Consider the following 13,245-nt stretch of genomic DNA (forward strand, 5'->3'; position numbering starts at 1 on the left):
TCCCCTTGCCGAACTTCATTGCAAATATGACTGCATGGCTGATTTTCCTGAAGACAATGTCAATCATATTTCTCTCTTCTTCCTCAATAATCACCGTTCCCTCTGCTCATGTTTCTCTCTTTGCTTGGAATGCCCTCCCCATCTCCACTCGCTTTGTCACCACCCCAATATACTCCCATCTTTCTGGCTTCTCTTACTTGTCATCACCTCCATGGAGCCTCTCCTGCCCACGTGCAACTAGACAATACTTTATTCCATAGCGTTTTGGTGGCCTCCACCCTACGAACTTGCCACTCATTAAACATGTACATGACTTATCTGCCTTAATCTCCTTAAAGACAATAATGTGCTCTATTCAATTTTACAATACGCATAGTTGGCTGGGCACGGTGGCTCATGCCTGTAATCCCAGCACTATGGGAGGCCAAGGAGGGCAAACCATGAGGTCAGGTGCTCGAGACCAGCCTGACCAATATGGTGAAACACGTCTCTACTAAAAAAATACAAAAATCAGCCAGGCGCGGTGGCGCACACCTGTAGTCCCAGCTACTTGGGAGGCTGAGGCAAGAGAATCGCTTGAACCCAAGAGGCAGAGGCTGCAGTGAACCAAGACTGCGCCCCTGCACTCCAGCCTGGGCAACAGAGTGAGACTGCATCTCAAAAAAAAAAAAAAAAAAAAAAAGCATATTTCCCAGAATAATACACAGTGAGTATTGTATGGAGTCCAGTAACATGTGCAGAATTAAGTTTTTAAGTTCTGCATTTGAACACCTAAACTATTGAAGCAGCCAATTAGCCAAATCAAATAAATAAAATAAAAGGAACTTAGCTAGGGAACCAGATAGAATTTGTTATTTTCACAAGCATTACCCAACTGCCTGCACTGTAGTTCTAATCCACGTCCTTTTACTGACCGATCACTTTAGAGCACAATCAAGCTGAGCTGAAGGTAGTGTTTACTCCTTCCTTCTGGATAAACACAGGTTGAAACACATCTGTTTACGCCAAAGGTTGCATATATGCATTTTTATCCATGCTGGCAGGATGATCCAGCACATTCTATTTGTGTACAGCCGCATCTGATCCAAAGACTGAGCTAACAAAAACATTATTGCTAAATCCATTTGTATCCATATGGATGTCAAGGCTCTCTGTGGGCATCGTGGATATCACATGAATGGTACATTGGAACCTGAGAACTGAGTTATTCACTCCAAAACAGACAGTAGTTTAAAACTAGTTGTCATCAGATCTCAATACACACACACACACACACACACACACACACACACACACACGTAATGAAATAATCATAACTCTCATTTATGGAATAGACATGAAGGACAGGATTGTGAGTGCTCTGTGTATCATGCACCAAATTGTATGAAATGAAGTTAATACATGTAAAAATGATACCGGTTCCTAGGGGACAAAAACATCATCTTCCGCCAGCACCCAGCAACAAGGAATATCCAGCCCTCACAGTCCAGCCCCTCCACTGTGACAGTCCTTCCAGAACACAACTGTTGCTCATTTTGACATATAAGCTGTGCAGGGAGGCAGAGTCAATACCTACAGATGGATTTTCAATGCTAAGCTACATTTTTGAATGGAGCAGGTAAAATTATTTCAAGTTCTATATGTTTCTGAAACAATATGAGACTACAGCTCTCTCCACGGTGTAGTGCAAATCTGGCTTTCTCTCTCTCCGTGTGGCCTCACGCTGCAGGAAATTGCAGGCAGGCTCATCAATCCCCTTTGACGGGATTTCCCTCTTCTGGGACCTGCCCAGAAGGTACACTGGCTGTTTTTCTGGCAGAATCCAAACACCTAATTCCCAGGGAGGGATGGACGCTGGGGAGATCCCCCATTTGCATTTCTGCTTCTCATTATAATGATCGTACTGCCTAGCGGTGTCAAGCAGAATATATAAAATCCTCTCTGTTCTCTCCCGGAGGAGAGGGAACTGCAGCGCGGTGAGGAGATCTGATTTCTGATGTCTGATCATCACAACACATCCCTACCGCAGATTCATGAATATTTTAAAACTTTTTTGAACGAGGCTTTTGGCGTGCTCTGTTTATTCATACATGCTGGCTAGTGATAAATAAGAAACATCACTGAGGGTTCCCCCCCTCTTGCCTTTGAGTTTAAGACGATTATTAACTTAAGACAAAGCATTCAGCAAGTTAGGAAATAGAGATATCCTGGTAGAATTCTATGCAGAAAATGACCTAAATCCAGAAAGGAGGAGGGAGGGAGAGAAAGGGGAGCAGGTTAAAAGTTCGGTAAATCTACCTTAGAACACATGGTCTTATCATAAAGGAAAAAGCAGTATGCGTCACTCATATCCTTTCTGTATTCAGAATCCAAATTAAAGAAAACAAGGAGAAACCTAAGTTTCTCCCTTCTTTAAGGGAGAAACTCTGAGAACCTAGATCCTTTTCACATGTGTTAACTTCATTTCATAGAATTTGGTGCATGATACACAGAGCAGTCGCAATCCTTGATATCTATTCCAGAAATGAAAGTTATAATTATTTTATCACCAAGAAAACTGGATGATTGATGGTTCATGTCACTGAAAATGAGGAGCCTCAGGTACTTCCTGCACTGCTCTGGCCACCTTGTCTTGGGTGTTCTGGGCACAGGAATGGAAGCAGTGCCACCCTGACTGGGAATGGCACAGGAGTGCAGCCTCTCCTGCCAGTGCCTCCCTAGCGGGCCCCTAGCAACACTACCACGCTCCTTCTGAAAACGGTTGCCTACATCTCTCCTAGGACAGTGAGGGAGAAAGGCTTTGGATCCAGAGAGACCTTAAATCAAACCTGGGCTATCTCCACTCGTGGGGGGTCAGGGCACCTCTCCACCCCTCATTTCCATCTGTAAAATGGAAGTAATCAAATGTGACTTCAGAGTTGCCATAAGAATCACAGATGCTGCAGAGAAAGCACTCAGCCCAGTCAGCTCAGATTGTCACCACATGGATGGGTTTCAGCGCGCACCTTCCCTCTCACCTGGGTCCCAAGCGTAAGGCATTGCTGTACATGGCGGCTCTGAGCACAATGCTGGTGCAGGCCCTAAACAGAAGCTATCATGACTATTACACAATTCAGAATTAGAAAATGTAGAATTTTCCACGTATTTATCAGAATTTTTCAAAACTGAAAAAATATCTTAAAAGCCATCTCGTTAGAATTCACATCCAAATCTTAAATTCCTTGGGATACATCCTGATTAATTATTGCCTTCATTCATCACATTCAGTCAGCGGATTGGGCCCCAAGAAGATGATAAACTGAGCATGCGATTCCTGGGATACATGTTTATGATGACCCAGTACCAGAATCCCTTGCTGCTTTTGTGGTTCCTGACTTTTCTAGATATCTTTTGCCCTGAGATTCCAATTTCTAGATGTGTTGGTGTGGTCTACACTCTGAGTTCTATTTTTAGAAGTTTGACCTGGCTTGCATTATACACTTAAGACCTGGCAAGCTCAAAGATTGACTACCCTGTCTAAATTGTGTTCCCATCATTTTTTTATGTAACTTCATAGTCTTATCACCCAATTCATACACACACACACATACGGTATACACACACATTTTTATTCAATAATTATTTGCTGAATGAATGAGAGCATGTGACATTTAAAGAGGGTTTTAAACCAAGTACAAAAGATTATCATACTGAACTTGGGGGCTAAAAGGAAAACAATAAAAATAAGAAAAAGTCATCAGGAGAGAATATTGCAGGCCAGTGCATACTATATACTGAAACAAGAAGTGTTTGATTCAACATATGACTGAGGGCAATAGGGCCCGATAAACTTTCTTAACGACCTCTTACAGCGCACATGCAAACGAAGTAGACTTGTGGAGAAGGAAGAAAATAAAAGGTCCAACTCAGGTTAAAGAAGGTTGGATAAATCACGGAGTGAAACTGTTGTCTAGCTTACAACTTTTACCTAATTTTTTCTAGTTAGATAAATCATTTCATCCTGTTTATCTAATTTTAACATGAGAAACTGTACAAAGAGCCCAAATATTCTTATATATTGTTATATTTAACAATATTCTTTAATTTTTTCATGCAAATATTTGATTTCTACATTGATAAAGTTATGTTCCAAGTTAAATTTTAACCTAAATAATTTAAGTTAAAATAAGGGATTCATCTTTTCACAGGAGAAAGATGAAAATTAATTTGCAAAGACGTAATACTGCTTACAAAGAACACACAGAAGATTAAAGATGAAAATAGGAAGCTTGTTCCATTTTTTTAATGAATAAACTGAAGACTATTTTTTTACCCTCAATTTCCAAACACTTCTGCATCAGTTGCTTTTCCCTTTTAAGATCTGCTTTTGTCAAGGTTTCAAATTTTGCTCTTTTTTAATTCTTCACTTTTATTGTTCCTACTTTGAAATTCATGCCTGCTTCACAATGTTAACTCATATTGCTAAAGTTTTACCTAATACAAAAAAAAATGATTAAAAAAGAAATCACCTTCTAGAAGAAAAATACATAATCCTGATTTTTATCTTATTTCTTTTTAATGTTGTAAAATATCTTGATAAAACCCAGAATATAATCGTTCATTTACGAAATGATTTTTCTCCTCAGTTTGTCTGCTTCAAGATTTTGACTGAAATGAAAAACAATGTATACAACACTCATATACCATCCCTCCCTCCCTCCCTCCCTTCCTTTTACTTTGCTCGTTTTTGAGACAGGGTCTCACTCTGTAGTCCAGGCTTGAGTACAGTGGCATGATCTCGGGTCACTGCAGCCTTGACCTCCCAGGCTCAAGCGATCCTTCCACCTCAGCCTCCTGAATAGCTGGGACTACAGACATGCACCACCATGCCCATCAAATTTTTGTGGTTTTTTTGTTTTTGTTTTTGTTTTGTAGAGACGGAGTGTCACCATGTTGCCCAGGCTGGTCTCAAACTCCTGAGCCCAAATGATCCACCCACCTTGGCATCCCAAAGCTCTGGGATTACAGGCATGAACCACCGTGCCTGGCCCAAACCTGTATTTTCTAGGAAGTCCATTTCTAGCTCTACAAACAATGAATATAACTCAGAGGTTCGTTTCACTGATACTTCTCATTCTAGCTTCCAAGAACTCACTCTTAAGAAGTTAACCAGAGATAGAAGTTAATAGATAATTTATTGATAAATATTTTGTGTTTGTCTTACTTCTGGATAAAAATACGAATAAATACAATTGACCGTTGTTTCACATTTTAAAACTTTTTAAATAAACATTTCCTCAGCCTCATGATAATCAGATTTATTTTTGTATAAAATACAGCTCAATAACTTAAGACAAATCCTTCAAATTGCTTCCTCTGTATTTCTCTCTTCAGAGAAATTTTTCTGTTTGGGATCAATTTTATAAACACATTAGTTTTGTGGACTACATTTTAACCTACTAAACTTTTTTTAAAATTCTAATTGCCCAGTAATTATAATAATATCTATGATGTGCTGTGAATTATGAGGGAAAAAAATGTAATTTTTATTCTTGCCAAGATGGACAATTGCTAAGAGTAGAAAAAGTGAAGTAGGGCTGGGCGCAGTGGCTCACACCTGTAATCCCAACACTTTGGGAGACCGAGGTGGGCAGATCACCTGAAGTCAGGAGTTCGAGACCAGCCTGGCCAAAATATAGTGAAACCCTGTTTCTACTAAAAAATACAAAAATTACCTGGGCGCAGAGGCGCACGCCTGTAGTCCCAGCTACTTGAACCAGGGAAGTGGAGGTTGCAGTGAGTCAAGATCACGCCAGTGCACTCTAGCTTAGGTGACAGAGCAAGACTCTGTCTCTCAAAAAAAAAAAAAAAAAGTGAACTGAACTGCCTTAATTCAACTCACTGACATATTGCAGCCCTAGAACGTGATTGTATTCGGTAGACAAAAAATAAAGCAGTGGATACATTTTTTTGTTTAACCTGATATGAGTGGCCATAAAGTTCCAGATTACAAGGAAATTCAACCGTTTTGGTTTTGTAATTTTTTTTCATATTGCCGAGTATCCCAGGAAAAACCCATTCAGCTGGGTGTTTCTTTGATCATAAAGACTTTGGTGTTGAAGAAAGAGCAGTGACAATTGAGTAGACATTTTTCGCTTTCTGTGACCACCTGGTGGATCCATGCACCTACTAAGTGGGGTGGATGGGTGTGCCTGCATGTGGCCTCATCTCTGTCTCTCTCTCCCTATGACCTATTTCTCTGTCATCTAGGGCTTACTGCCAGTTATTCAGTCTTAGTGATAATTAATACAAAGACACAAAAATTGACAATTTTCATTTCATTCTATTAGTTTTTCTTCATCTTTATCTTTTTGATGTGCAAAAATGCAACTCTCTTATGTTTTTTATTTTACCAGTAGTGACAAGAGAAATGGGTCCTTTCATATTTACCAAATAGGTTAGCCAGAAACAAGATGAAGTGGGACTTACATTTCAGCATCTCTTCTCATTTTTCTTCTTAATCTGTGATGGAATATTTATGTCCTTGAAGCCAAGTAAATTATATTATGCTGTCTCACAAAACCAAATAAAAAATTCCTTTTATTTGAATAAACCGAGTTCACACTAGATACATGATACTAAGGTGTTCAAATTCAACATGAAGCTATGTGATGTAAAGAAAGGCTCTTGCCCTCATGTATATTCAGACATTTTTAAAGTTTTGTGAAAGTACTGCCTCTTATGTGTTTCTGGATCTTATGCTATGTAAAGGCAAATTCTTTTTTTTTTTTTTTTTCCAGATGGAGTCTCACTCTGTTGCCCAGATTAGAGTGCAGTGGCGCTATCTCTGTTCACTGCAACCTCCGCCTCCCAGGTTCAAGTGATTCTCCTACCTCAGCCCATTGAGTAGCTAGGACTACAAGGCACAGGCCACCACATGCGGCTAATTTTTGTATTTTTAGTAGAAATGAGGTTTCACCATGTTGGCCAGGATGGTCTGGATCTCTTGGTGATCCACCCTCCTTGGCCTCCCAAAGTGCTGGGATTACAGGCATGAGACACCACGCCCGGCCGGCAAATTCTTGTGTGTGTGTGTGTGTGTGTGTGTGTGTGTGTGTGTGTGTGTGTGTGTGAAATGAAGACTCCTTCTTTTGTATTTTTAGGAGAGACGGGGTTTCCCCATGTTGGTCAGGCTGGTCTCGAACTCCTGACCTCATGATCCTCCCTCCTTGGCCTCCCAAAGTGCTGGGATTACAGGCGTGATCCTTCAATGATACAAGAGACTGCCCATGGTAGTAAAGGATATCGCATATTTAAGGCACAGACTCGAGACCAGTGTGTCTTTTGCTAAAAGAGAAGCCCAAGGCACAGCTTGCCATGAAAAAAAAATGTGATAATACACATAAAGAAACAAACTAAAATAATCTTGTAAGAATGTCATCTGAAAACATTAAAGTGAGTAAGATGCATTATTTCCTTATATCTATGTGACATTCTTTGAGTTATTCCCAAAAAGTCTCCAGGAAGAAATTCTGAGTGTGGTGGCACTTCTCATGAGAGTTCCATAGGCTGAGGATTTTCAGAACTTGGGAGCTGCTGTACACCCCTCTAGGACCTGCCTCACATGACAACCCATACTCTGTGGACAACAGGGAAAGATAAAAGGCTTCCTTGAGTCCAGCAGTGGGACTCTGCTACAGTCCTTGCTTTTGGCACCAGTTCCTGTAATTTCATCAGCTTCTAAACCTGAAGAAAACCTACGTGACGCCATTCAGGACACAGGCATGGGCAAAGACTTCATGACTAAAACACCAAAAGCAATTGCAACAAAAGCCAAAATTGAGAAATGAAATCTAATAAAACTGAAGAGCTTCTGCACAGCAAAAGAAACTATCATCAGAGTGAACAGGCAACCTACAGAATAGGAGAAAATTTTTGCAATCTACCCATCTGACAAAGGGCTAATATCCAGAATCTATGAGGAACTTAAACAAATTTACAAGAAAAAAACAAACAACTGTATCCAAAAGTGGGCAAAGGATATGAACAGACACTTCTCAAAAGAAGACATTTATGTGGCCAGCAAACATATGAAAAGACAAAAAGCTCATCATCACTGGTCATTAGAGAAATAAGAATCAAAACCACAATGAGATACCATCTCATGCCAGTTAGAACGGTGATCATCAAAAAGTCAGGAAACAACAGATGCTGGAGAGGATGTGGAGAAATAGAAACACTTTTACACTGTTGGTGGGAGTGTAAATTAGTTCAACCATTGTGGAATACAGTGTGGCAATTCCTCAAGGATCTAAAACCAGAAATACCATTTGACCCAGCAATCCCATTACTGGGTATATACCCAAAGGATTATAAATCATTCTATAAAGACACATGCCCATGTATGTTTACTGCAGCACTATTTACAATAGCAAATACTTGGAACCAACCCAAATGTCCATCAATGATAGACTGGATAAAGAAAATGTGGCACATATACACCATGGAATATTATGCAGCCATAAAAAAGAATGAGTTTATGTTCATTGCAGGGACATGGATGAAGCTGGAAACCATCATTCTCAGCAAACTAACACAGGAACAGAAAACCAAACACCACATCTTCTCACTCATACGTGGGAGTTGAACAATGAGAACATGTGGACACAGGGAGGGGAACACCACACACCGGGGTCTGTCAGGGGGTTGGGGGAAAGGGGAGGGACAGCATTAGGACAAATACCTAATGCATGCGGGGCTTAAAACCTGGATGACAGGTTGGTGGGTGCAGCAAACCACCATGGCACATGTATACATATGTAACAAACCTGCACGTTCTGCGCATGTATCCCAGAACTTAAAGTAAAATAAATAAATAAATAAATAAATAAAAAAGAAAAAGAATCCAGCCTTGAGGAGACGGCAGAAGAGACTTTCCTCTTTGAACTGTACAACCTGGTTTGAAATGGAGAAAATGCTGTCTTCGTCAGAGGCTGGCATAGCTGAGATGTCAAGTTTGAGGGCAAGATAAAGGCTCATAGCCAATAGGTCAAAAAGACATCTGCTGAACTAGCTACAACGAGAGAGAAAGATAAAGCCATGCAATTCTTGGAAGACATTTTGACTTTCTTGAGACTAAGAAGTTGCCCATATTTGATGTATTTGTTCATCATTGCATAGAATGGCAATTTAAATAACTTTTTAGGGGAAGCAGCGAATAGCCTTTGAGGAGAAAATATTCACTCTATGGACCACCAACTACACACTGAATTTGATCAAGCTGGCAAACTACAGCTCCATGTCTGAATGCATCTGTTTTTGTACAGCAATAATCTAGGGATATTTTTTATTTAAAAAATGTATAAAAATATACTTATAAACAAACATAAAGAAGAATATGTGAAACAAGCAAAACAATGTCTGCAAAATCTAAAACATTTACCATCTGACAATTTATGGAAAAAGTGCCAATTACTGACCTAATACAAAATTTGGCCTATTAAAAGTCTCCTTTTCTGCTTCCTCCTTTAGCTCTAAAATCTGTAATAGGATGCTGTTCTTTGTTGTGACACTGTAGAGTGCCACTGAAAAAAAAATAATAAATATGGAAATGTAATGTATAAAGTTGCTATTAAAATGTTAGGTATTGATGCTTTTTTTTTTTGAGACAGTGTCTTGCTCTGTCACCCAGGCTGGAGTGCAGTGGCGCGACCTCAGCTCACCACAACCTCCACCTCCCAGGTTCAAGCGATTCTCCTGCCTTGGCCTCCTGAGTAGCTGAGATTACAGGCGCCCACCACCACGCCCAGCTAATTTTTTTGTATTTTTAGTAGAAACGGGGTTTCACCATGTTGGTCAGGCTGATCTCAAACTCCTGACCTCAGGTAATCCACCTGCCTCAGCCTCCCAAAGTGTTGGGATTACAGGCATGAGCCACTGCACCCGACCCTTTGATGCATTTTTAATTTAAAAAATAGTCTTGAATGAATTAAACTAACTCGGAGGGTGTAGCTGCCGTGGCCACATACAGTTAGTTATTTATTAGATGGACCTTGATAGATATATGCCTAGAAGAAATGACTTGGTCTACCAAAAATATTTATTGAGTGTCTCCTCTTTGCAATGTAGTAAAAAATATTACATATTCTAGATCTATAGAACTCTTGGCCAATATAATAAAAGTCACTTCTGCTGATTATCAATAACATAATCTATCTCTACAACATCTCTTCTCTAAGTCTGCTACGAAATTTGCTACAGGGAAGCTCAAAGATCTGTCTGTACCAAGAAAAATGAAAGGGCATATCTGCAAAATAGGCTTCTAAATACAGAACTACTGTCGAGAATCATTACATTATTTGTATTATTGCTACTTTGCTCTAAATAAAGTGATTTCTTTTCCCAGAATTATTGAAAATATTGCAGATACAAGAATGCATTTCCCACACTTTGCATATCACAGTGGGATTCAGGCTCAATCAATACTCTCCTGTCTAACAACCTAGTCTTATCCTCTGTAATACAAAAATTATACAGGACTCTGCTTCCCAAATTAGTTTCCATTTTTCTGGTGACTGACATGAGTGGCTTAATTAAAAACAATATCTAAGCACAATGTAAATTAAACTTGAGACTTTAATTTACTATAATGCTTTCCCTGTACTTCTGTGTTCATCGATTTAATTTATTGGCTGGAATCGAAATGAGTCTCTAATAATTCCTAATGTTCCAAACTAATACTTGCTTTTCTAAGAAGACATTCAGTATTTCATTGTATTCAGCTATGACAGCTCAGAAACAATTTTTACATCACATGGAAGTCATTTTCTATGTACTTTTCAATAAAAAAAGTCACACTTCTTTAATGTCTTGGGGGAACCTGTTATGACTGCATGGACTTAGGCAACCATCTCCAAATGAATCACCACCAATTAACCTTTTATTATAATTGAATAAATGAGTAACAGTCTCAAATAAGTGCTAGTGATACTTCAGGAACGATGCAACATACTTCTGACAGCATATGCCGAAATCCCTGGCTTGAGTCTGTATCCCATTAAAGACAACATAGCATATAAGCGCTGAAAATTACCCCTAGGTTTTCAGCTCAGACAAGGGATAAAGTGCTCAGCATTACACTCCATCTGGGTGCTACGGGAATGTCGATCTCTGAGAGAGATTTGCCTACAGAAGATGTTGAGTGAGCATGAAAGCTGTTCAGACAGTATCAATTACAGGAACGAGGAATGTTAGAGCATTAGAGCATTATGCAATGTTGTTTTTGCTGTGGTCTTTCTTAGGCAGCTAGTATGCTGATTAGCTCTCCAGAAAACAAGATGTGGAAGGAATCTTTGCACAGAAGTGTGGAAAGTATCTCATATCTTCACAAAGAGATGATTAAAATGGTATCTTTTTGTACTAAAAGGAAATTTCACTTCAAGTTAACATGGCAAAAATATCATTTTTTACTCCCAACAGTAGCTTTTATATATATGTTCATTCACAATAAAACATTATACTTTGGGGTAATAACTGAGGAAAATGTACTTGAGAATCCACAATTAATTATTTTTTAACTTTTATTTTAGGTTCAGGAGTACATGTGCAGGTTTGTTATATAGGTAAACTTGTATCAGAGGGGTTTGTTTTACAGACTATTTTGTCACCCAGTATTAAGTCTAGTACCCAACAGTTATTATTTTCTGTTGCTCTCCCTCCCATGCACCCCCGACCCTCAAGTAGGTCCCACTGTGTGTTAGTCCCCTCTATGTGTCCATGTGTTCTCATCACTTATCTCCCACTTATAAGTGAGAACAGGCAGTATTTGTTTTCCTGTTCCTGCATTAGTTTGCTAAGGATGATGGCCTCCAGCTTCATCCATGTTCCTGCAAAGGACATGATCTCATTCCTTTTTATGACTGCGTAGTATTCCATGGTGTATATGCACCACATTTTCTTTATCCAGCCTGCCATTGATGGTCATTTAGGTTGATCCCATGTCTTTGCTATTGGATAATCCACACATTAATTTATGCTACAGTAAATTTTAGAAATTCTTAAAACTCTTTCTCTGCTGCTTCCTTTGTCCTACAGAATTCTCCATAGAGCTATCCTAGATTTAGGACTGTAGGAATTTGTATGATGAAGAACAAGCAAAAAAATAGTGGAATTTAGAATTGTTGGGGCCCTGCTGTTCCAAACTGACTTAGTCCACGTAGGTTATTAACTTCTCACATATTATCACCCTCATTTCTAGGAATCTTTGACTCTCTATCAGCCCCCTGGGCAGCAGCTTTGCTTATTCTTTTTCATGAAGTTTCTCCAGATTTCATTCACTTGAAACCTAATACTTACTATATATACTATGTATAATATATACTGTATACTACATGCATCCTCTATATACTATATACCATATATATGCTATACTCTATAATATGAATACTTATATATAAAACAATATACCCATGGTATCTATTACCTATACATACACATATATGGTTTGCACTCATTTCAGTTCCATTTGACTTGATGTCTACATGGTGTGCAAGTGTACACAGTGGGTTTTCATTTGCTGGAAGTGCAACATGAGAACATGAAAAAATGTATTAGTTACTTAAAGCCAAACTGTCTAGTCTAAGGACAGCCATGCTGTCCTGGGCTTAGACGTGGCAGTACCTATGTCCTTCTCTCTATGCAAGTCCTAGGGCAGTCTTCCAATGGTTGTTGAATATTTCTCATTTCCTCAGAAGTTGTATGGGAATAACCACATCGTTATTCACCCACATATCTAGGGCATATGTGTCATGAAAGTGCAAGCAGCTTCTCTTAGGTATTATACAGGACTAGAGAAGACAGGTGAATCTGTGAATCTCATAGTGAGATCTGTAGGTTTCTCTTATATTTTACCTACTTTCATTGCTATGATAGATAAGCTTGCAGAGTAACATAAACCTATTGCAAAGTACACACAGACACATAATATATGCAACAGGTCCTAATCATTGAATCTATGCTTCATTTTTCACTCTTCGTCCATAAAGACACATATGGACAAACTTTCTACCCGTCTGGTAAAAAGAAACTTGACTTTTTTAAGTTAATGATTTTAAGGAAGTTCAGAAAAAGGTAAGAGGTTTGGGGTGACGGCACCATTGTGGGTAAACATATTGTGCTAATTTCATGGATTAATATAAAGAATGTATGAAATAAATCGGCACCCTGGAAAAGAAGGGACACTTGGATTAAAAGAATCTTCACTCAAAT

General features: G+C 39.0%; 1 protein-coding gene across 1 annotated transcript in view, besides 3 other annotated features; it reads right to left on the minus strand.

The window, feature by feature from the left end:
- NALF1 (NALCN channel auxiliary factor 1) overlaps positions 1-13,245 on the minus strand; it is a 703,987-nt gene that overhangs the window by 556,342 nt on the left and 134,400 nt on the right. The gene's annotated exons all lie outside the window — the stretch shown is intronic.
- Positions 2,030-2,324: a silencer, noted in NCBI's record as "tiled region #14817; HepG2 Repressive non-DNase unmatched - State 24:Quies". NCBI's record gives its function as "represses a minimal TATA promoter and a strong SV40 promoter by Sharpr-MPRA in HepG2 cells {active_cell/tissue: HepG2}" and the evidence as "EXISTENCE:reporter gene assay evidence [ECO:0000049][PMID:27701403]".
- Positions 2,043-2,212: an enhancer, noted in NCBI's record as "experimental_31889 CRE fragment used in MPRA reporter constructs". NCBI's record gives its function as "activates a minimal promoter by MPRAs in K562 erythroleukemia cells, with activity observed for the introgressed 13:108374327 variant allele {active_cell/tissue: K562}" and the evidence as "EXISTENCE:reporter gene assay evidence [ECO:0000049][PMID:34662402]".
- Positions 13,035-13,204: an enhancer, noted in NCBI's record as "experimental_31927 CRE fragment used in MPRA reporter constructs". NCBI's record gives its function as "activates a minimal promoter by MPRAs in K562 erythroleukemia cells, with activity observed for both the introgressed and non-introgressed 13:108385319 variant alleles {active_cell/tissue: K562}" and the evidence as "EXISTENCE:reporter gene assay evidence [ECO:0000049][PMID:34662402]".

This window comes from Homo sapiens, chromosome 13 (assembly GCF_000001405.40).
Source record: "Homo sapiens chromosome 13, GRCh38.p14 Primary Assembly".
In the NCBI taxonomy this organism is placed as follows: Eukaryota; Metazoa; Chordata; class Mammalia; order Primates; family Hominidae; genus Homo; species Homo sapiens.